General features: G+C 44.6%; 1 long non-coding RNA gene across 1 annotated transcript in view, besides 3 other annotated features; it reads left to right on the top strand.

Moving 5' to 3' along the window:
* Nucleotides 9178-9910: an enhancer, noted in NCBI's record as "OCT4-NANOG-H3K4me1 hESC enhancer chr3:177001817-177002549 (GRCh37/hg19 assembly coordinates)". NCBI's record gives its function as "activates a minimal SCP1, AML or CMV promoter by ChIP-STARR-seq in naive and primed H9 embryonic stem cells {active_cell/tissue: H9 hESC(naive and primed)}" and the evidence as "EXISTENCE:reporter gene assay evidence [ECO:0000049][PMID:30033119]".
* Nucleotides 13573-13787: a silencer, noted in NCBI's record as "fragment chr3:177006212-177006426 (GRCh37/hg19 assembly coordinates)". NCBI's record gives its function as "represses an EF-1alpha promoter that drives an FKBP-Casp9 reporter gene in an ReSE screen in phorbol 12-myristate 13-acetate-treated (for megakaryocytic differentiation) K562 erythroleukemia cells {active_cell/tissue: K562(+PMA)}" and the evidence as "EXISTENCE:reporter gene assay evidence [ECO:0000049][PMID:32094911]".
* Nucleotides 18821-20020: an enhancer, noted in NCBI's record as "P300/CBP strongly-dependent group 1 enhancer chr3:177011460-177012659 (GRCh37/hg19 assembly coordinates)". NCBI's record gives its function as "activates an origin of replication core promoter dependent on BRD2, BRD4, P300/CBP, MED14 and CDK7 cofactors, with strong dependence on P300/CBP, by STARR-seq in HCT116 cells {active_cell/tissue: HCT116}" and the evidence as "EXISTENCE:reporter gene assay evidence [ECO:0000049][PMID:35650434]".
* LINC00501 (long intergenic non-protein coding RNA 501) overlaps nucleotides 19591-20173 on the top strand; it is a 28994-nt gene continuing 28411 nt past the window's right edge. Inside the window, exon 1 of the long non-coding RNA NR_047465.1 lies at nucleotides 19591-19646. This is a non-coding gene — a long non-coding RNA (long intergenic non-protein coding RNA 501). The remainder of the gene's footprint in view (nucleotides 19647-20173) is intronic.

Raw genomic sequence — 20173 nt, forward strand, 5'->3', positions numbered from 1 at the left:
TGTTGCTATTACAGGCGTGAGCCACAGCACCCACACCCCACCCACATCTTTGTTTTGTTTTGTTTTTAATCACTTTGCTATCCCAAAGTAGAAGAAAGTGAGGATAGAGAAAATTATAAATCTTGGCCACATATAGCATAGACAAAAAATGATATTACTTAAAAAAGAGAAGCTATACAGGCTCTTTAACCTTGAATTGACAAGCAAAACTATTCCAACATTTCAATGGTAGATTTAGCTACCATAAAACAATATGACAATGCAACACAATCGTTTGACACTAAAATGTTATAAAAATCTTTGAAATTATTTAAACAGAGAGTACACCTAAATTCCATTAGTAGAGTTCTCTCCTAACTAAAATGGTTAAAATCCAATGAACCTTTTTTTGGGTTATTTGTTAACTATAATTTGCATTAAGTACATATTTTGAAAGATAAGTATTTAAAACTCATTTTTCCTAAAACAAAGATTGATATTAGTACTTCAGTTTTTTGTTTTTTTGTTTTGTTTTGTTTTGTTTTGGAAATGGAGTCTCGCTCTGTCACCCAGGCTAGAGTGCAATGGCACGATCTTGGCTCATTGGAACCTCCGCCTCCTGGGTTCAAGCGATTCTCCTGCCTCAGCCTCCCAAGTAGCTGGAATTATAGGCGCTGGCCACCACGCCCGGCTAATTTTTTGTATTATTATTATTTATTTTATTTTTTGTGATGAAGTTTTGCTCTTGTTGCCCAGGCTGGAGTGGAATGGCGTGATCTTGGCTCACTGCAAGCTCTGCATTCTGGATTCAAGTGATTCTCCTGCCTCAGCCTCCCGAGTAGCTGGGATTACAGGCGTGAGCTACCATGCCCAGCTAATTTTGTATTTGTAGTAGAGACAGGGTTTCTCCATGTTGGTCAGGCTGGTCTCGAACTCCTGACCTCAGGTGATCCACCAGCCTCGGCCTCCCAAAGTGCTGGGATTACAGGCTTGAGCCACCATGCCTGGCCCAGATAGTTTTGCCCACTAAAGAAGCAGGTTAGTTTCAGAGGAGTACAATTTTAGGTGGGAGAAAACTGATAAGTGAACACGCTTCATCAACAACTATCATTCAGCACACCATCAACAAAGAATCTCTAGAAGATGGCATTTTTTATGCTAACCAAAATATATTTACTCTACTTACAAGTATGTAAAATATATTTGTGCTTTTGTTTCCTTATCTGTAAAATGAGAAAAATAATTATACCTACCTTAACTCAAACTTCTGAGTTAATATGGGAAAATCATGTAGAATGTTGTATGGTATATAGCAAATGTTCTATGAGTTTACTATTGTTTGTTATTTAAGCAAATCAGAAAATAGAGTTAATAATATCTGTTCTTTGGATGAAGTTAGTATAGGGTTGTCAAATGGAGATTTATTCTTCCTGGTGAGGGTGAAGAATGATGGCTTGAAATTAAATTCCTGCCTCCCTGTGTTTTTGTTGGGTATGATAAGATTGTTTCACTTTTATTCACTGGAGGAGGACCTTAGGATTATTAGAGAGGATCCAGGGAGGGAGGTACATTCACTGAGTCCATAGCGACTAGCTTTCATGACCTGGACCCTCCATTTCCTCTATGTATTTGTAAAGCTTCTTTTATCCTTGTTGGATATAAGTTTTCTGCCTGTAAGTTTCAAGCCAGCAGATTACCTGATGAACCTATTAAAAAGAAAGAAAGCATTGTTTCCAGAAAATGTTTTGTACTCTTGAGCTCCCAGGCTAAGCTAAGTCAGCTGCTGAGGTAGACGTTGACAGATCACTGGACAGTGTTACCTTAACAGAAGAAAAATTAGTAGCTATTTTAAACAAGAAAACTACAAAAAGACATGGGCTATAATGTCAGATTTCATAATCTTTAGAAAGGTTGAAGAAAGCACCGTGGTTAGAGCCCTGGGTCCAAGCCCCAGCTCTGCCTCTTACTGGTTGTGTCTCCTGCAAGGACCCTGGCATCCATGAGGATGGTCACTGTATTTAACTGGGTTCCACCTAAGTGTCTGTAGCAGAGAGTGCCAAAATACATTGGCTTTAAAAAAGTAGATGCTTGGCCAGGTGCGGTGGCTCATGTCTGTAATCCCAGCACTTTGGGAGGCTGAGGCGGGCGGATCACCTGAGGTCAGGAGTTCGAGACCATCCTGGCCAACATGGTGAAACCCCCGTGTCTACTAAAAATACAAAATTAACCTGGTGTGGTGGTCGGCGTCTGTAATCCCAACTACTTGGGAGGCTGAGGCAGGAGAATCACTTGAACCCGGGAGGCAGAGGTTGCAGTGAGCCAAGATCACGCCATTGCACTCCATCCTGGGCAACAAGAGTGAAACTCCGTCTCAAAAAAAAAAAAAGGCCGGGCGTGGTGGCTCATGCCTGTAATCCCAGCACTTTGGGAGGCCGAGGCAGGCAGATCATGAGGTCAGGAGCTCGAGACCATCCTGGCTAACATGGTGAAACCTGGTCTCTACTAACAATACAAAAAAATTAGCCAGGCGTGGTGGCACATGCCTGTAGTCCCAGCTACTCGGGAGGCTGAGGCAGGAGAATGGCTTGAACCCGGGAGGTGGAAGTTGCAGTGAGCTGAGATCGCTCCACTGCACTCCAGCCTGGGCATCAGAGCGAGACTCCATCTCAAAAAAATAAAAAAAAATGTAGACGCTTGTTTCTTTCTCCGTAGACGTCCGGAAATAGGTAGTTCATCTCTGTTTTTGTTTTGTTTTGTTTTGTTTCGTTTTTTGAGATGGAGTCTTGCTCTGTCGCCCAGGCTGGAGGGCAGTGGCATGATCTCGGCTCACTGCAGCCGCTGCCTCCTGGGTTCCAGAGTTCTCCTGCTGCCCAGGCTGGAGTGCAGTGGAGCAATCTCGGCTCACTGCAACTTCCACCTCCCGGGTTCAAGCCATTCTCCTGCCTCAGCCTCCCGAGTAGCTGGGACTACAGGCACCCGCCACCATGTCCGGCTAATTTTGTATTCAGCCTCTCGAGTAGCTGGGACTACAGGCACACGTCACCACACCTGGCTAATTTTTTTGTATTTTTAGTAGAGACGGGATTTCACCATGTTGGCCAGGCTGATCTCGAATTTCTGACCTCAGGTGATCCACCCGCTTTGGCCTCCCAAAGTGCTAGGATTATAGGCATTAGCCACCACGCCTGGCTATCTCTGGGTTTAAGATGCCTACTTTTGTTCTGCCCATCTCAGCCAGCAGGAAGGAAGTAAAGGGTCAGGCATACACAATCTTTGTAAGGGCAAAACTGACAAAAAGGGCACCTATCACCTTCTCACATTTCATGGCTAGAACTTAGTCACATGGCCACCTCTGGCTGCAGGTGTGGCTAGATAAAGCAGTGGTCTTTAGTTAGGAAGCCATGGCCTCAGTGGAAACTCTATGTCTGTGGAAGGGGAGATCAGATACTGAAAGATAACTGGCCATATGCCTTGTCTTGGGAGAACTTGGAGTATTTGGAATATTTCACAGTACTTGGAAGAAGATAACATGAAAATCCAGTAGAAAGAGCACAGGACTAGAGGCCAGGCATGGTGGCTCATGCCTGTAATCCCAGCACTTTGGGAGGCCGAGGCAGGTGGATCACCTGAGGTCAGGAGTTCGAGACCAGCCTGACCCATATGGTGAAACCCCATCTCTACTAAAAATACAAAAAATAAGCTGGGCATGGTGGCACACACCTGTAATCCCAGCTACTTGAGAGACTGGGGCAGGGTAATTGCTTGAACCCAGGAGGCGAAGGTTGCGCCATTGCACTCTAGCCTGGGTGACAGGGTGAGACTCCATCTCAAAAAAAAAAAAAAATATATATATATATATATATGTATATATATATAGGTGTATATATATATATGTATATATATATGTGTATATATATGTATATATATATACGTATATATGTATATATATGTATATATATATACGTATATATATGTATATATATGTATATATATGTATATATATATGTATGTGTGTGTGTGTATATATATATATATATATATATATATATATATAATCCCCTTTCCTTGTACTCTGGAAACAATCAAATTCAGCATATAGATATATATTCCCACTAATTGTCCTCCAATCTTCAGTACAGTCTGTTCATAAAGTAGTCTTGTGTTACTAATATGTAGGGAACTAGCGGATGAGGTGATGTTGAGAGGCCTGGTGTTCTTTGTGACTCCATCTTTTGATGCTGTCATCACCAGCAACAGCATTATTCCAAAGAAAAGTGTGGTTCTATTTTTCCACGACAAGCAAAAAGGCAACCAGAAACCAAGTCAAAGTTGACTTGGAGTCAAGGTCAGTGAGGAGACAGGTTATAGCCAGATGGTCTCTAGGAAGGAAATGAGCCTTGTGTTTTCAAAGATAAATATTTAATTACTTACCTTTCCTATAACAAAGTGTGTGTGTTGGTGGAGGGGTGGGTGCAAACCTCATTTGTAAGTGGGAAGGGAACTCAAGCTGTTTTATGTAAATATCAAAGGAAAGGCTGATCCCAGCAGACTAGAAGGTTGGGATGCTTCCAGGGAGGCAGGTAAACAAGCCACGACGGTAAGTTTAGAGTGGGTAAGTGAGTGAACTATGAATGTAGCTGATCCTTGAGTCCAGGCTGCGTTGGGAGGCTAGGAATGGGGTGTTGGATAAAGTACACTTACAATTTGGGAAGGAATCAAGGACTTGGAGTAGACCCTTTCAGAAAAGAGCAAGTAGCTTGGGTGCCTGAGCAGAAGTGGACGGTCAGGAACTGGTGGTCAGTGAGAGAGCAGAGATCAACATCTTAAAGCCACATTCCTACTGAAGCAAGTCAAGCGCGACTTTACAGAGTGACACACCTTTACAAACTTGTGGGCTGAAAAAGGAATGGAATTTTTTTTTCCCCTTTATACCAGACATTTCTGGATTATGAAGAGAGGAAACTTAGATCTTCTCTACCTTTAAAACCAATAAATAAATAAATAAAATAAAAATAAAAGAAAGAAGATCTCTGGCTTTACAGGTGATGAATGGTCCACCTAGTTATACTCTTGACTTTCCCTGTAAAAGAACATCGTTAGCCCATTCCATCCAGCAAGTGTTTCCCAAACTTCACTGGTCAAAAGCATTACCTGGGTTTCATCCCAAGCCATTTGAATCAGAACTGCAAAGAAGGGAATCTAAGAATCAGCACCTTTAGGCTGGGCGCGGTGGCTCACGTCTGTAATCTCAGCGCTTTGGGAGGCCTAGGTGGGCGGATCACCTGAGGTTGGGAGTTGGAGACCAGCCTGTCCAACATGGAGAAACCTTGTCTCTACTAAAAATACAAAATTAGCTGGGCATGGTAGCGGGTGCCTGTAATCCCAGCTACTCGGGAGGCTGAGGCAGGAGAATCACTTGAACCCGAGAGGCAGAGGTTGCAGTGAGCTGAGATTGCGCCATTGCACTCCAGCCTGGGCAACAAGAGCAAAATTCCGTCTCAAAAAAAAAAAAAAAGGATCAGCATCTTTAACAAGGGTTCCTGTGCACTTTTTTGACCAGGGACATTTGGGAAATATGATGTTCTCTAAGCAGTGGTGGTCACGTTACTGCTGGGGTGGTTCTGTATGCCCAGAGCAGATGTACTGCCGAGTGTGGTGGCTCATGCCTGTAATCCCAGCACTTTGGGAGACCGAGGCGGGCAGATTACCTGAGGTCTGGAGTTCGAGACCAACCTGACCAAAATGGTGAAACCCCATCTCTACTAAAAATATAAAATTAGCCGGGCATGGTGGCACATGCCTGTAATCCCAGCTACTCGGTAGGCTGAGGCAGAAGAATCGCTTGAACCCGGGAGACAGAGGTTGCGGTGAGCCAAGATCGCACCATTGCACTCCAGCCTGTGCAAAAAGAGCAAAACTCTGTCTCAACAAAAACAAAACAAAACAAAACAACAAAAAAAAGAGAGCAGATGTACTTAAAACTTAGGACAGGATGTAAGAGGAGAAGGGAAATTAAAGTTAAGCTGAGATAAGGAACAGAAATTCAAAGAGCAGCAAACCACGTTTGTGGATTTCTAAGTTCTTTATCTTAGTCATTTTGCTCTCTGGGCCTCTGTTTCCTTATCTGTAAAATGATGGGGTTAATCTACTTTTAGGGCCCTGGTGGGTGTCTCCAGGACCATTCTGAAGGGGAGAGCCTGTCTTAGTCTGTTTGTGTTGCTATAGAAGAATAACTGGCTGGATATGGTGGCTCATGCCTGTAATTCCAGCACTTTGGGAGGCTGAGGTGGGCGGATCACCTGAGGTCAGGAGTTTGACCCCAGCCTGGCCAACATGGTGAAACCCTGTCTCTACTAAAAATACAAAAATTAGCTGGGTGTGGTGGCATGAGCCTGTAATCCCAGCTCCTTGGGAGGCTGAGGCAGGAGAATTGCTTGAACCCAGGAGGCGGAGGTTTCAGTGAGCCAAGATCGCACCACTGCACTCCAGCCTGGGCAACGGAGTGAGATTCCATCTCCAAAAAAATAAAAATTACAAAGAAAGGAATAACTGAGACTGGGTAATAGGTAAAGAAAAGAGGTTTATTTGGCTCACAGTTCTGCAGACTATATAAGAAGCATGGTGCCAGTATCTGCTTCTGGTGAGGGCCTCAGACTGCTGCTACTCGTGACCAAAGGCTAAGGGGAAACAGTGTGTGCAGAGGTCACATGGCGAGAGAGGAAATGAGAGTGGGGGAGGTGCCAGGTTCTTTTTAACAACCAGCTCTCACAGGAACACAGAATAAGAACACACCATTTATCCCCCACTCCACCCAAGAAAGGGCATCAATCTATTAATGAGAGATCTACCCCCATGACCTAAACACCTCCCATTAGGCCCCACGTCCAAAATTGGGGATAAGATTTCAAAATGATCATTGGAGGGGACAAACATCCAAACTATAGCAGGCTCCCTCAGGCTTATCACAATCTCCTCTTCAGCCAAAGCAAATCCGCTTAGATTTGCTTTGTTGATTGGGCTTCTATGTCAGTACCATTTTTTTGAATTTAGAAAACTACTGCTCTAAATGATTTTAAAGGTCTTTACAGCTCTAGGATACTAAGTGTGTCTTCAGCAGCAATGCCAACAACAGAGATCATTAGCACAGAAAAAGAGCACCAAGAGGAACCTTAGGACGCAGGCTACATTTTGAGACCTAGTTTTAAATATTGACTCCTGCTGTTCAAGCCTGCTGGCTTCCTTGTTGTGGGCTGACATTCAAGTGGAGAAGAAATAATTGTGGTATTTCCATGAATATAGCAGCTTAACTTAAAGACACAAAATCAACCCCAAAGGTTGTTTGTCATTGTGTAGACAAAATAATAACTGGTTAATTGCCTGAATTTTCTTCCTGTTCACTGGTTGTTTTGGTATCAAGTATCTATAGCCAAATGTAAGTTCTGTTGAGTGACTTGGCATAAGACCAGCTGTGCATTCAAAAGCAGGTGTAGCCAGCAACAAGCCAGGTGCCTGGTGGGAGAGCCTGCCAGGAGTTGAGAGATGGCACTTCCCCTATGTAGGCAGTGCATGTTATGCTATATCTTTAGAAATAAGCATCTGTTTACAAATGAATATAACCTTTGCCTGCTTACTCACCTTTCAATCTAGGGAAAAGGACTGCTATAGGCCTGTGTGGCAAAACTTGGGTTCAAGTCCAGCTCTGTGCTTATTGCGTACTTTGGACAAATCACCTATCTTATCTAAACTGGGAGACAATAATATCTACTTTGCAGCACTGCTGTGAAGATTAAATAAGATAATGTATGTGAAAGCATTTTGTAAATAGCACGAAGTCTTAAAAATGTAAAGATACATTTATGATAATGAATAACGGCACCATATTCAAGCAAACAACATTAGGAAGAAAACACTATTACATTCACAAACTATACAAATGCTTTTATGTATAATCAGACAATAAATAATATGTTTATTAACATATCCATGTATTCATTCATTCACTCATTCCTGACTACATAGCAGTAGTCCCTGGGGGAGATAAGAAGTCAGTTAAGGGAAAATAGTTAGACAAAAGATACATTTAGGATTTGATGATCAAGCAGTTCAATGTCTATTGAGCCAGTACTATGTTCCAGGAGCCAGGTTCCTTCCCTGGGGGAGCACACATCTCCAGTGGAGGGGCTTATAGTCACAGAGGGAAGATAATGGCTCAGTGAAGTCTGATGAATCCAGAGGATATCCAGAGTTCACCCCCAGCTTGGCAAATGGATGCTGACTGAACACTGATTTGATCTCAAGGCAACTTTCCAGAATGTTCGTTGCTCTCCCCATTCTCATTCAATTGCACTCATCATGTCCTGCCTGGATGCTCAGGACTCTCCCAAATGCACTGAATGAACTGCAAGGTACCTGGGCTAAGCCCAGTTTAGCCTTTCAGAGTAGAATGACTAGACTTGTGGACAACTAGACTAGTAGACTAGTAGAGAGATGGTCCTCAGAGCCTCCCTAACATAGTACTGAAGGAAAAGCCTTTTTTTTTTTTGAGACCGAGTCTCACTCTTGTTGCCCAGGCTGGAGTGCAGTGGCGCGATCTCGGCTCACTGCAACCTCCGCCTCCCGGATTTAAGTGATTCTCCTGCCTCATCCTCCCAAGTAGCTGGGATTACAGGCGCCTGCCACCACGCCTGGCTAATTTTGCATTTTTAGTAGAGACGGGGTTTCGATATATTGGTTAGGCTAGTCTCGAACTCCTGACCTCAGGTGATCCACCCACCTTGGTCTCCCAAAGTGCTGGGATTACAGGTGTTAGCCACTGCACCGGCTTTTTTTTTTTTTTTTTTTTTTTTTTGAGAGGGAGTCTTGCTCTGTTGCTTAGGCTGGAGTGCAGTGGCGCAATCTTGGCTCACTGCAACCTCCGCCTCCCGGGTTCAAGCGATTTTCCTGCCTCAGCCTCCTGAGTAGCTGGGATTACTGACGCGCATCACCACGCCCAGCTAATTTTTGTATTTTTGGTAAAGACGGAGTTTCACCATGTTGGCCAGGCTGGTCTCAAACTCCTGACCTCAAGTGATCCGCCCGCCTCAACCTCCCAAAGTGCTGGGATTACAGGCGTGAGCCACCGCGCCCAGTTAGGAAAAGACTTTTTAAGTAAAAAATAAAAATCATTGTGCCTCCTTTGAACATGTTCTTTTCACATTGTAGTAGCCAACACAAATGATTTAGCATATACATATATGATTTATGTTGAGAAAATATGCAAGATGAAGTAGCTTTAAGCAGCAGAGATAAAGGAATCTGGGCTGCCTGTTAGTCACCATACCCTTTGGTTTACCTGTATAATATTGCACCATGCTGCAGAAGGCATTCATCTCCCATATGCGGATCATTTAGGTCAGTGCTCATGGTTAATTCCAAACTTGCTCCTCTCGCTTTTACTTAAATAAATAAAAACAAATTTAAGATTGGCCATGTACTCCCCTACAGAAGGCTGAAAGTGGATGGTAACTACAGCTTTCCAGTCTAAGTGAAACCCTTGCCTTTGATCTCCCTCACTTCTCTCAGAAAATGGTAACAAAGAAGATTAAAGTTTTTCCCCCGTTGAGTGCTCCTCCTCCCTCCCACCCTTCCCTCTTTCTGAAGGGCTCTTAGGTCAGACAAGAGCATTGCATATATTTTGCAATCCAAAGACATCAAGCAGGGATAAAGGGCGTGGTTTCCTGCTCGGGGAAGAAGCCTCTGCCAGCGGCCTCCCCTCTGAGCCTCAGTAAGACGCTCCTTGACCTGCCCTGACTTTCTCCGTGCCTTTGACATTGATTAGTTCCAGGAACTCCTGTTGGGGGAGCCACCTGGTGTGCATTTTTCCTCTGCCTGTCAGAAAGACTTTCAGGCACCATGTGACTTTGAAGTGGGTGCCTTGTGGCCTGTTACAGAGATTCCTCAGAGAAAGACTGTGTCCTCTTCCACAGCCTGGTGGCGGGCAAATGTCTTCTTGCTTTGGATACTGTTTTGCCCAGGCCGGTGGTGACATCTGTGCCTTCTTTCATGATGTCTTGTAATCTCAATTTGTTTATTTATCTAGCTGTTTTACTCAGCTTTTGAATATGCACAAAATGTGTATTTCCTTTACTGTTCTTTAACATTATAACATTAGTGTAACACATGCTTTCTACTCTCTTTAAAATTATTTATTTATTTATTTAATTTTTGAGACAGAGTCTCGTTCTGTCGCCCAGGCTGGAGTGCTGTGGCACAGTCTCAGCTCACTGCAACCTCTACCTCCTGGGTTCAAGCGATTCTCCTGCCTCAGCCTCCCGAGTAGCTGGGATTACAGGCATGTGCCACCACGCCAGGCTAATTTTTTTGTATTTTTAGTAGAGACAGGGTTTCACCATATTGGCCAGGCTAGTCTCAAACTCCTGACCTTGTGATCTGCCCTCCTCGGCCTCCCAAAGTGTTGGGATTACGGGCGTGAACCACCACACCCTGCCTAAAATTCTTTTTTAATAGGCAAGGTTGTATAGACTTACAGTTGCATAAAGGTTATATGGAAAACTAACTTTTGGAACTTATTTAGATTATGTATTTCTGGTTTTTTTTTTTTTTTTTTTTTTGAGACAGAGTTTTGCTCTGTCAACCAGGCTGGAGTACAGTGGTGCGATCTCGACTCACCACAACCTCTGCCTCCTGGGTTCAAGTGATTCTCCTGCCTCAGTCTCCTGAGTAGCTGGGATTACAGGCATCAGCTACCATGCCCGGCTAATTTTTGTATTTTTAGTAGAAACGGGGTTTCACCATGTTGATCAGACTGGTCTCAAACTCCCGACCTCAGGTGATCCACCTGTCTTGGCCTCCCAAATTGCTGGGATTACAGGTGTGAGTCACCGTGCCCAGCCTAGATTATGTATTTCTTATGACTAAACGCCATTATAAATTAGCGATCTTATAATAAGTCTCATAATCATTCTAAGACTAAGGTTATCCTGAACAAACTATGGTTATCTCCACCCCCAATACCGTAATCATAATGACAACTACAGCATTCACCTAATGCCTAGCAGTTTTAAAAGTACTTTCCTATAAATTACCCATTTTGTTCTTTATACCAGTATCAATGTCATTTTACAGACAGAAAATCAAGACTTAGAGAAGATAAGAGATTTGCCCAGGATCACTCAAGGGTTACATGAAGGAGCCAGGATTTGAAGTCAGGTTTCTTACTGTAGAGCCACAGGGCCTGCCCGGGATGTACATACATCTCTCTAAGAGTCATGGGATCTGGCCACAAGTGGCAATAAATTTACAGGAATAGGCATCCAGGCACCGTGATTTGGTCATTATTTTGCTGCCTATCACTATGTGATCCTCTGTAAATCTCTGAACTCATCTAGGCCTCAGGTTACTCATCTCAAATAGCAACAGCCTGAACAAGGTTAGTAGTGTTTGTCAACAGGGATGACTCCATGCAGGTATTTCAAAGATTCTGCACATGCCTGACTGATTTCATAGAGGTGGAGGCTGACCTTTGACCACAGCAATCTTTTTTTTTTTTTTTTTGATAGGGTTTCTCTCTGTCCCCCATGCTACAGGGCAGTGATGTGATCAGCTCACTGTAACCTCAAATTTCTGGGCTCAAGGAGTCCTCCTGCCTCAGTCTCCAGAGTAGCTGGGACTACAGGCTTGTGCCACCATGCCCAGCTAATTTAAAATTTCTTTTTTGTAGAAACAGGGTCATGTTTTGTTGCCCAGGCTGGTCCCAAACTCCTGGTCTTAAGTGATCCTCCTGTCTCAGCTTCCCAAAATGCTGGGATTATAGGCGTGAGCCACCCTGCCTGGCAACAATCATTTTTAACTCTTATTTTCGATTTTCAATATTTTCAAATTCCTAAATATTTAGAGTTCATCTAAATATTATCTTAGTTCAAATGTTACAAATATGAACTCAAAACATATTGTAGGAGAAACCTATTAGGCAGAACCAGTACAAAGATGTTGAAAACTACTTATTTTTTATTTATTTATTTTTTTTGAGACAAAGTCTTGCTCTATCACCCAGGCTGGAGTGCAGTGGCACACTCCATTCACTGCAAACTCTGCCTCCCGAATTCAAATGATTCTTGTGTGTCAGTCTCCTGAGTAGTTCGGGTTACAGGCATGTGGCACCACGCCCAGCTAGCTAATTTTTGTGTTTTTTTAGTAGAGATAGGGATTCACTATGTTGGCCAGACTGGTCTCAAACTCCTGACCTCAGGTGATCTGCCCGCCTCGGCCTCCCAAAGTGCTGGGATTACAGGCGTGAGCCACCGTGCCTGGCCTGAAAATTAGTTTTGCAATCGTCGCCCACTTTGGAATAAAACGAGACTGGAGTTGGAAATGGGAAGATTTTTACATCTTTACAGAGCGTTGTCAGTGTGCTGTTAGTACCCTTTACCCTTGAAGCAGGGAAAAGGGGGTGCTTTTTCTTACCCTATGACCAGTGAAAAGGGCTTCTCCTGACCACTTATAGTACTTGATTTGTGTCCCCTGCGCATGTGAGGGGAATGAGTGGACCAGTATCTGACTGACTCCGGCTTAAGAGATCTGGAGCAGGAGGCTGTAGACGTGGCCTGGAGGACTGTAATTGAGGAAGTAACTGTACTGCCTTTGTATGAAAGGCCAAAGGGGCATGTTTCTGTGGACCAGATACAAACTAAGAAAGAGAAAGAGCTAGCCTGGGGGGTTGCCTTAGATTCTACTTCAGAGAGCTACCTAGGAGAGCAAGGAGACCTCAGTAGAGAAAGGCTGGAGGAGCCGGGCATGTTGGCTCACACCTGTAATCCCAGCACTAATGGCTGGGCGCGGTGGCTCATGCCTGTAATCCCAGCACTTTGGGAGGCCAAGGTGGGCGGATCACCTGAGGTCGGGAGTTCAAGACCAGCCTGACCAACATGTAGAAACCCCGTCTCTACTAAAAATACAAAATTAGCCAGGCGTGGTGGCACATGCTTGTAATCCCAGCTACTTGGGAGGCTGAGTCAGGAGAATCGCTTGAACCTGGGAGGCAGAGGTTGCGGTGAGCTGAGATCGCGCCATTGCACTCCAGCCTAGGCAACAAGAGCGAAACTCCATCTCAAAAAAAAAAATCCTAGCACTTTGGGAGGCTGAGGCAGGTGGATCACCTGAGGTCAGGAGTTCGAGACCAGCTTGGCCAACATGATGAGACCTTGTCTCTACTAAAAATACAAAATTAGCTGGGTGTGGTGGCACATGCCTGTAATCCCAGCTACTCAGGAGGCAAGGCTAGAGAATCACTTGAACCCGGGAGGCGGAGGTTGCGGTGATGTGAGATTGTGCCACAGCACTCCAGCCTGGGCGACAAGAGTGAAACTCTGTCTCAAAAAAAAAAAAGGTCAGGAGTTTGAGAAAAGTCGGAGGTAGGGACTGATGGAAGACTCAGTCACCCATCTTGAAGGCATCCACTTACGAAAGGAAAGTCATAGAAGTGAGAGTCTCCCAAGAACCCATGAGAGAAAGAGTTATCTTCCAAAAGACCATCCTGATGGCTAAATAGTAGAAAGGAGAGGTTTATTGGGGACATCAGTTTGTAAACCAGGAGGAGACAGTTTCTGGCATGTACCAAAGACACACTCTAGGCCAGGTGCAGTGGCTCATGCTAGTAATCCCAGCACTTTGGGAGGCCGAGGTGGGTGGATGGCTTGAGCCCAGGAGTTTGAGACCAGCCTGGGCAACATGGCAAAACCCCATCTTTACAAAAAATGCAAAACTTACCTGGGTGTGGTGGCGTAGCCTGTAGGATGCTGAGGTGGGAAGTTGGCTTGAGTTTGGGAGGCAGAGGTTGCAGTGAGCTAAAGTCACACCACTGCACTCTGGACTGGGTGACAGAGCAAGGCCCTGTATCAAAAAATAATAATAAAATAATAGAGAATAAGAATAAAGCAACCCAAAGCTCCTTTCCCTTTCTCATTGCTGGAGCTTAGCCTGAGGCAGTGCTAACTGGGGAGCAGAGAAGCATAAATTTTGAAAGGAGCTGAGAGTTTTCATTCCAATGGACTCATTGGATTAATAACTGAACTGAAACTGAGGGAATACAGTGGGCAAAGGACTTTCCTCTTTTCTTTTTCTTTTTTTTTTGAGATGGAGTTTCGCTCTTGTTACCCAGGCTGGAGTGCAATGGCACGATCTTAGCTCACCACAACCTCTGCATCCCGGGTGCAAGCGATTCTCCTGCCTTAGCCTCCCAAGTAGCTGGGATTACATGCGCACGCCACCACACCCAGCTGATTTTTATATTTTTAGTAGATAGGGGTGTCTCCATGTTGGTCAGGTTGGTCTCGAACTCCTGACCTCAGGTGATCCGCCTACCTTGGCCTCCTAAAGTGCTGGGATTACAGGCGTGAGCTACCGCGGCCAGCCGTCCTTTTTTCTTCTTTAGATCTAAAAGGAACCAGAAAAGGCTGGCACTAAATTCCATCCAAAGACACATAGCAGCCTCAGAGAATGGGCATGCAGGGACAGAAGGGAGACATAGATGAAGATTTTTTCTGCTGTGTTTCATGGGTCCTGAATATTTAATATAATGGTTACATGTATACACACACAAAAAAAATGCTATTTTTCTTTGTTACAAATAAGTTGATTTTAGGCCAGGCGCAATGGCTCACGCCTGTAATCCCAGCACTTTGGGAGGCTGAGAAGGGCAGATCATGAGGTCAGGATTTCGAGACCAGCCTGGCCAATATGGTGAAACCCCGTCTCTACTAAAAATACAAAAATTAGCTGGATATGGTGGCATGAGCCTGTAATCCCAGCTACTTGGGAGGCTGAGGCAGGAGAATCGCTTGAACCCGGGAGGCAGAGGTTGCAGTGAGCCAAGATTTGCCAGGACTGTGCCACTGCACTCCACCCAGTGAGACTCTGTCTCAAAGAAAAAAAAAGCAAACAAAAAACTAAATAAGTTGATTTGACAGTGTTCCTCAATTTCAAAAGCTTGAAAACCACTAGAACTTGACAATGTCAAAAGCTACTTCCAACACTGACATCAATACCAGTAATTACAGAGTGGAAGAAAAGGTGGCCGAATGTTATTCCCCCTGCCCTTCACCACTGTGTTCATAGCCGTTTAGATCTTATGGCATGAAATTAAAGGAACTGAAATTGTTTCCTTCATCACAAAAAGATGGCAAATCTTTGATCCTGGTCACCCTTATCTGCCCATCCCCCCACCCCTAGACAATGGTAAATCTTACGTGGATTGGAGGAGAGTAGAAGAGAAAATAAAGAAAATGGGTGGAGGGGATAACAAAAATGAGGTTAAGCAGTAGAAAAGGAAAGAGGAAGCATTGAAAAAGGTTACTGTGGGCACGGAGCGGCTTTCCTTATTGGAAGGAGGAAAGGGAAATAGAGCCTGCTGAGGAAGGACCGGCCACTGCTTCAAGTACTGGCTGTGGCAGTGCCACTTTCCACTTGAACGAGGCTGCACACAATTACAGACGCATCTTCCAGCTTTTTTTTTTTTTTTTCTTTTTGAGACGGAGTCTTGCTCTGTCGCCCAGGCTGAGTGAAGTGCAGTGGTGCAATCTCGGCTCACTGCAACCTCTACCTCCCGGGTTCAAGCAATTTTCTGCCTCAGCATCCCGAGTAGCTGGGATTACAGGTGCCTGCTACCATGCCTGGCTAAATTCTGTATTTTTAGTAGAGACGGGGTTTCACCATCTTGGCCAGGCTGGTCTTGAACTCCTGACCTAGTGATCCATCCAGCTCGGCCTCTCAAAGTGGTGGGATTACAGGCATAAGCCACCGCACCTGGCCATCTTCCCGCTTTGTACTAATGCCTTGGTACTCACCAACCACCCCTTCTCACGGGGACTCTGACTTCCTCCTTGAGGTCTCACCCATGCCCCCTCCCCAAGGCCTGTCTCTCAGCCAGCCGGACAATGTGTCACAGGGTTACCTACAGCCACGGGCTATGACTTGGTGCATATTATCACAGTACCTACCCTATTTGCTGCCAAATCATTTAAAACAGTGTATATTGGCCAGGTGCCATGGCTCACGCCTGTAATCTCAGCACTTTGGGAGGCCAAGGCGGATGGATCACCTGAGGTCAGGAGTTCGAGACCAGCCAGGCCAACATGGTGAAACCATGTTTTATATAAAAATATAAAAATTAGCCAGGCGAGGTGGTGGGTGCCTGTAATCCCAGCTACTTGGGAGGCTGAGGCAGGAGGTGGAGGTTGCAGTGAGCCAAGATCACACCACTGCACTCCAGCCTGGGTGACAGAGTGAGACTCCATCTCAAAACAACAACAACAACAAACAAACAAACAACAACAACAACAAACAAAACAGTGTATATTAAAGAAAACGGATATATTATGGTGTAGAATGTTGGAATCCAACTGGAGACTTGGAAATGTTGAGTATTTGGCTGCTACAGACTTAGTTCACTCAGGGTTATTAATTCACCCTGCTCTGCTATTAGAGGTATTTTTTCCCCCAGGAAATGATTGAGGAAATTGGACTCACCTTCTGAGAAGTACCTATATTGGGCACTAGATTAGCAAAAGTATTAGCAAAAAACCAAAGATGTGGCACTTTATTTATTTATTATTTATTTATTTATTTTTTTCTGAGATGGTGTCTCGCTCTGTTGGCTAGGCTGGAGTGCAATGGTGTAATCTCAGCTCACTGCAGCCTCTGCCTCACGGGTTCAAGCAATTCTCCTACCTCAGCCTCCCGAGTAGCTGGGATTATAGGCACACCACCATGCCTGGCTAAGTTTTGTATTTTTAGTAGAGACGGGGTTTCATCATGTTGGCCAGGCTGGTCTCGAACTCCTGACCTCAGGTGATCCACTCTCCTCGGCCTACCAAAGCGCTGGGATTACAGGCATGAGCCACCACACCTGGCCGACATGACATTTTAATGACGGAAATGAAGGCGGTTTGATGGGAGGTGGAAGAGCTCTTTAGGTGGTAGGTGAAGTGACTCTGCCAACTGACAGAGCCACCTCTGTTTGACAATGTCTATGTGAGCCAGGTCCTAAAAATAGGAAGCACTCAATGAGCATTTTTTAGATCAGCTTTTCCCAAAGTCTATTTCATGGAATACTCTCATTAAATGCTGCAAACAAGAAGGGTTCTATGGTCAGATAAGTCTGGGAGACACTTTAACTTCCTCTTGGAGATTCGCAAAGTACAAAGGTGTTAAAGGCTCTAAGAAATCATACAACAAAACAAACAAATTTGTCTGGCTCAGTGTTGCCCAAGCATAGTGAGTGTATCCCTTTAAAAAACATATAACTCTTCTTTTTGTAACTCAATTGTAATACCCCAGAATTAGTATTCTAGGGAACACACCAAGGGAGCCACCATCCTAGATAGTATCATAGACCAGAAGTTACCATTCCTCACCCAAGGCCCCTTTTGTTGTATTCCCCCACAACCTTTCTTATTGTTTTTGAGATGAAGTCTTGCTCTGTCGCCCAGACTGGAATGCAGTGGTGTGGTCTCGGCTCACTGCAACCTCCACCTCCTGGGTTCAAGCAATTTTCCTGCCTCAGCCTCCCCAGTAGCTAGGATTACAGGCGCATGCCACCACGCCTGGTTAATTTTTGTATTTTTAATAGAGACGGGGTTTCACCATGTTGGCCAGGTTGGTCTCGAATTCCTGACCTCGTGATCTGGCCCCCCTCGGCCTCCCAAAGTGCTGGGATTACAGGCATGAGCCACTGTACCCAGCCTGTTCTCCCCTTTTTTCTCATGTTTTGAACATCTTTTCCTAGCAAATAGAAACATATTTATCTCATTCACAGAGATATGTAAACATAGCAATGGATAGGCAATATTCACTGCCACAGGTTCCTTAATTTCAGCTGTTCACCCCTGTGCTTCCCTGCAGGTCAATTCTACTATGGGTATTGTTTGGATATTACCACCTGATAACAGTCTGATCCACAAGTTTCACCAGAGCAATGCCAGGGGTATCATCAACAGCCAATTAGAACTTGGGCAACATGAGCTAGTCAGCTGGAAGACTGAATTGATCTAATTTTAGCACAAAGCAAAGAAATATGATGTTACGGTTAACTTGTGTAAATAGATATATGGTGCAAGTACAATTGTCGTTAGAGTTTTTTTGTTTGTTTGTTTGTTTTTGAGATGGAGTCTTGCTTTGTCGCCCAGGCTGGAGTGCAATGGCGCGATCTCGGCTCACTGCAACCTCCACCTCCAGGGTTCAAGCAGTTCTCTGTCTCAGCCTCCCGAGTAGCTGGGATTACAGGTGACTGCCACCACGGCCAGCTAATTTTTTGTATTTTTAGTAGAGACGGGGTTTCACCATGTCAGCCAGGCTGGTCTTGAACTACTGACCTTGTGATCCACCCACCTCGGCCTCCCAAAGTGCCAGGATTACAGGCGTGAGCCACTGCGGCCAGCTAGAGATTTTAAAATGCTAAAAATAACCCTAGAATGTCTTGCCCACTTCACAGATCCCTCAGAGTCCAGGCATTAGGGGTGGGAAAGTGCCACAGTAGGCTATTCTACAAATGGTATTCTTGTGCCTATATAACATGCATTGATTCTGTAGTCAAGTTTCTATTAATCTAAAGGAGACTGGGTAACTCTCAAGATTTCAAAAAAAGTGATATTACAGAAAGTATGAAAAAGTAAGAAAATTATAAAGCATGGCAAACCCTTTGGTCTTTAAGCAGAAATTTTTATTTTCAGTCAGTTGAATGTAAGGGCTTCAGAAGGATCGTCGATGAATCATGTTGTATAGGTGACAAAGCAATCCTGCGTTCATTATCTCACTTCCTTCTCCCAGGAATCAGGTGATGTCTCATTAGTACACAATCTGAGCACTGAAGAGCGTCACATTCTATAATTTTTAGGAACTTTTTGTTGTAGATGTTAGAAACCCAACATAAACTACCTTATGTAAGAAGGGCAACTGATTGGAAGGATTCTAGTATTTTCTTTTTTTTTTCTCTTTGAGACGGAGTTTCGCTCTTGTTGCCCAGGCTGGAGTGCAATGGCGCTATCTTGGCTCACTGCAACCTCCGCCTCCCGGATTCAAGCGATTCTCCTGCCTCAGCCTCCCTAGTACCTGGGATTACAGGCGCCTGCCACCACGTCCAGCTAATTTTGTATTTTTACTAGAGATGGGGTTTCTCCATGTTGGTCAGGCTGGTCTGGAACTACTGACCTCAGGTGATCTGCCCGCCTTGGCCTCCCAAAGTGCTGGGATTACAGGCACGAGCCATGGCACCCAACCGATTCCAGTATTTTCTTTTGATCTGTTTTTTGTTTTTTAAATAGAATTCTAGGAATAATTGAATAATCAAGACACAGGAAGAGCAGAGATGCAGCTGGGTTCTGAATGCTGAAAGCCAGACACTAGAAGGTTGTCAGGATTCTTCTCATCTCATGTTCCCCTCTGAATGTTGGCTTCACTCTCTCATTTCAGAGTGGCTTTCTTCTCTTAGTGGAGGACATGCTTGCCAGGAGCATGTGAGTTCATATCTATTAATAAATGTGGAGCCAGTGAAGAGAGATTAGTTCAGCTTGCTCGTCATCCCTAGGCTATGAGCCACAAAGCAGGACTGTGGCCCAGCTTAAGTCCAGTGCTAACCTGTGGGTGAATGAACAATGACCGGGGAACAGGGCCCTAAGGTATGTGTAAAGTGACTCCTGTGGTAAAAATGTACCTGAGTGGGAGTTGTGAGAGTCGGGGTGGGGAAGAAATACATTCTTAGAAAAGACGTGTTAGGCAGGTAATTCTATAGGTATGCACTCCATATTTATGCATTCTGGATGGACATATTGTGCATATATTATGGAGGCCTGTCAGCAGAACCCCAAGTCCATGCTAGCTGAATTTATGCTCAACTATATGAGGAGAGTAATTACTTTGTTTTTTCTTTCTTTGAGATGGGGTCTCACTCTGTCACCCAGGCTGGAGTACAATGGCTCAATCTCAGCTCACTGCAACCTCCACCTCTGGGGTTCAAGTGATTTTCCTGCCTCAGCCTCCAAAGTAGCTGGGATTACAGGCATGAGCCACCATGCCCGGCTAATTTTTTGTGTTTAGTAGAGACGGGGTTTCACCATGTTGGCCAGGCTGGTCTCGAACTCCTGACCTCAGGTGATCCACTCACCTCGGCCTCCCAAAGTACTGGCATTACAGGCGTGAGCCACTG

This window comes from Homo sapiens, chromosome 3 (assembly GCF_000001405.40).
Source record: "Homo sapiens chromosome 3, GRCh38.p14 Primary Assembly".
Lineage (NCBI taxonomy): Eukaryota > Metazoa > Chordata > Mammalia > Primates > Hominidae > Homo > Homo sapiens.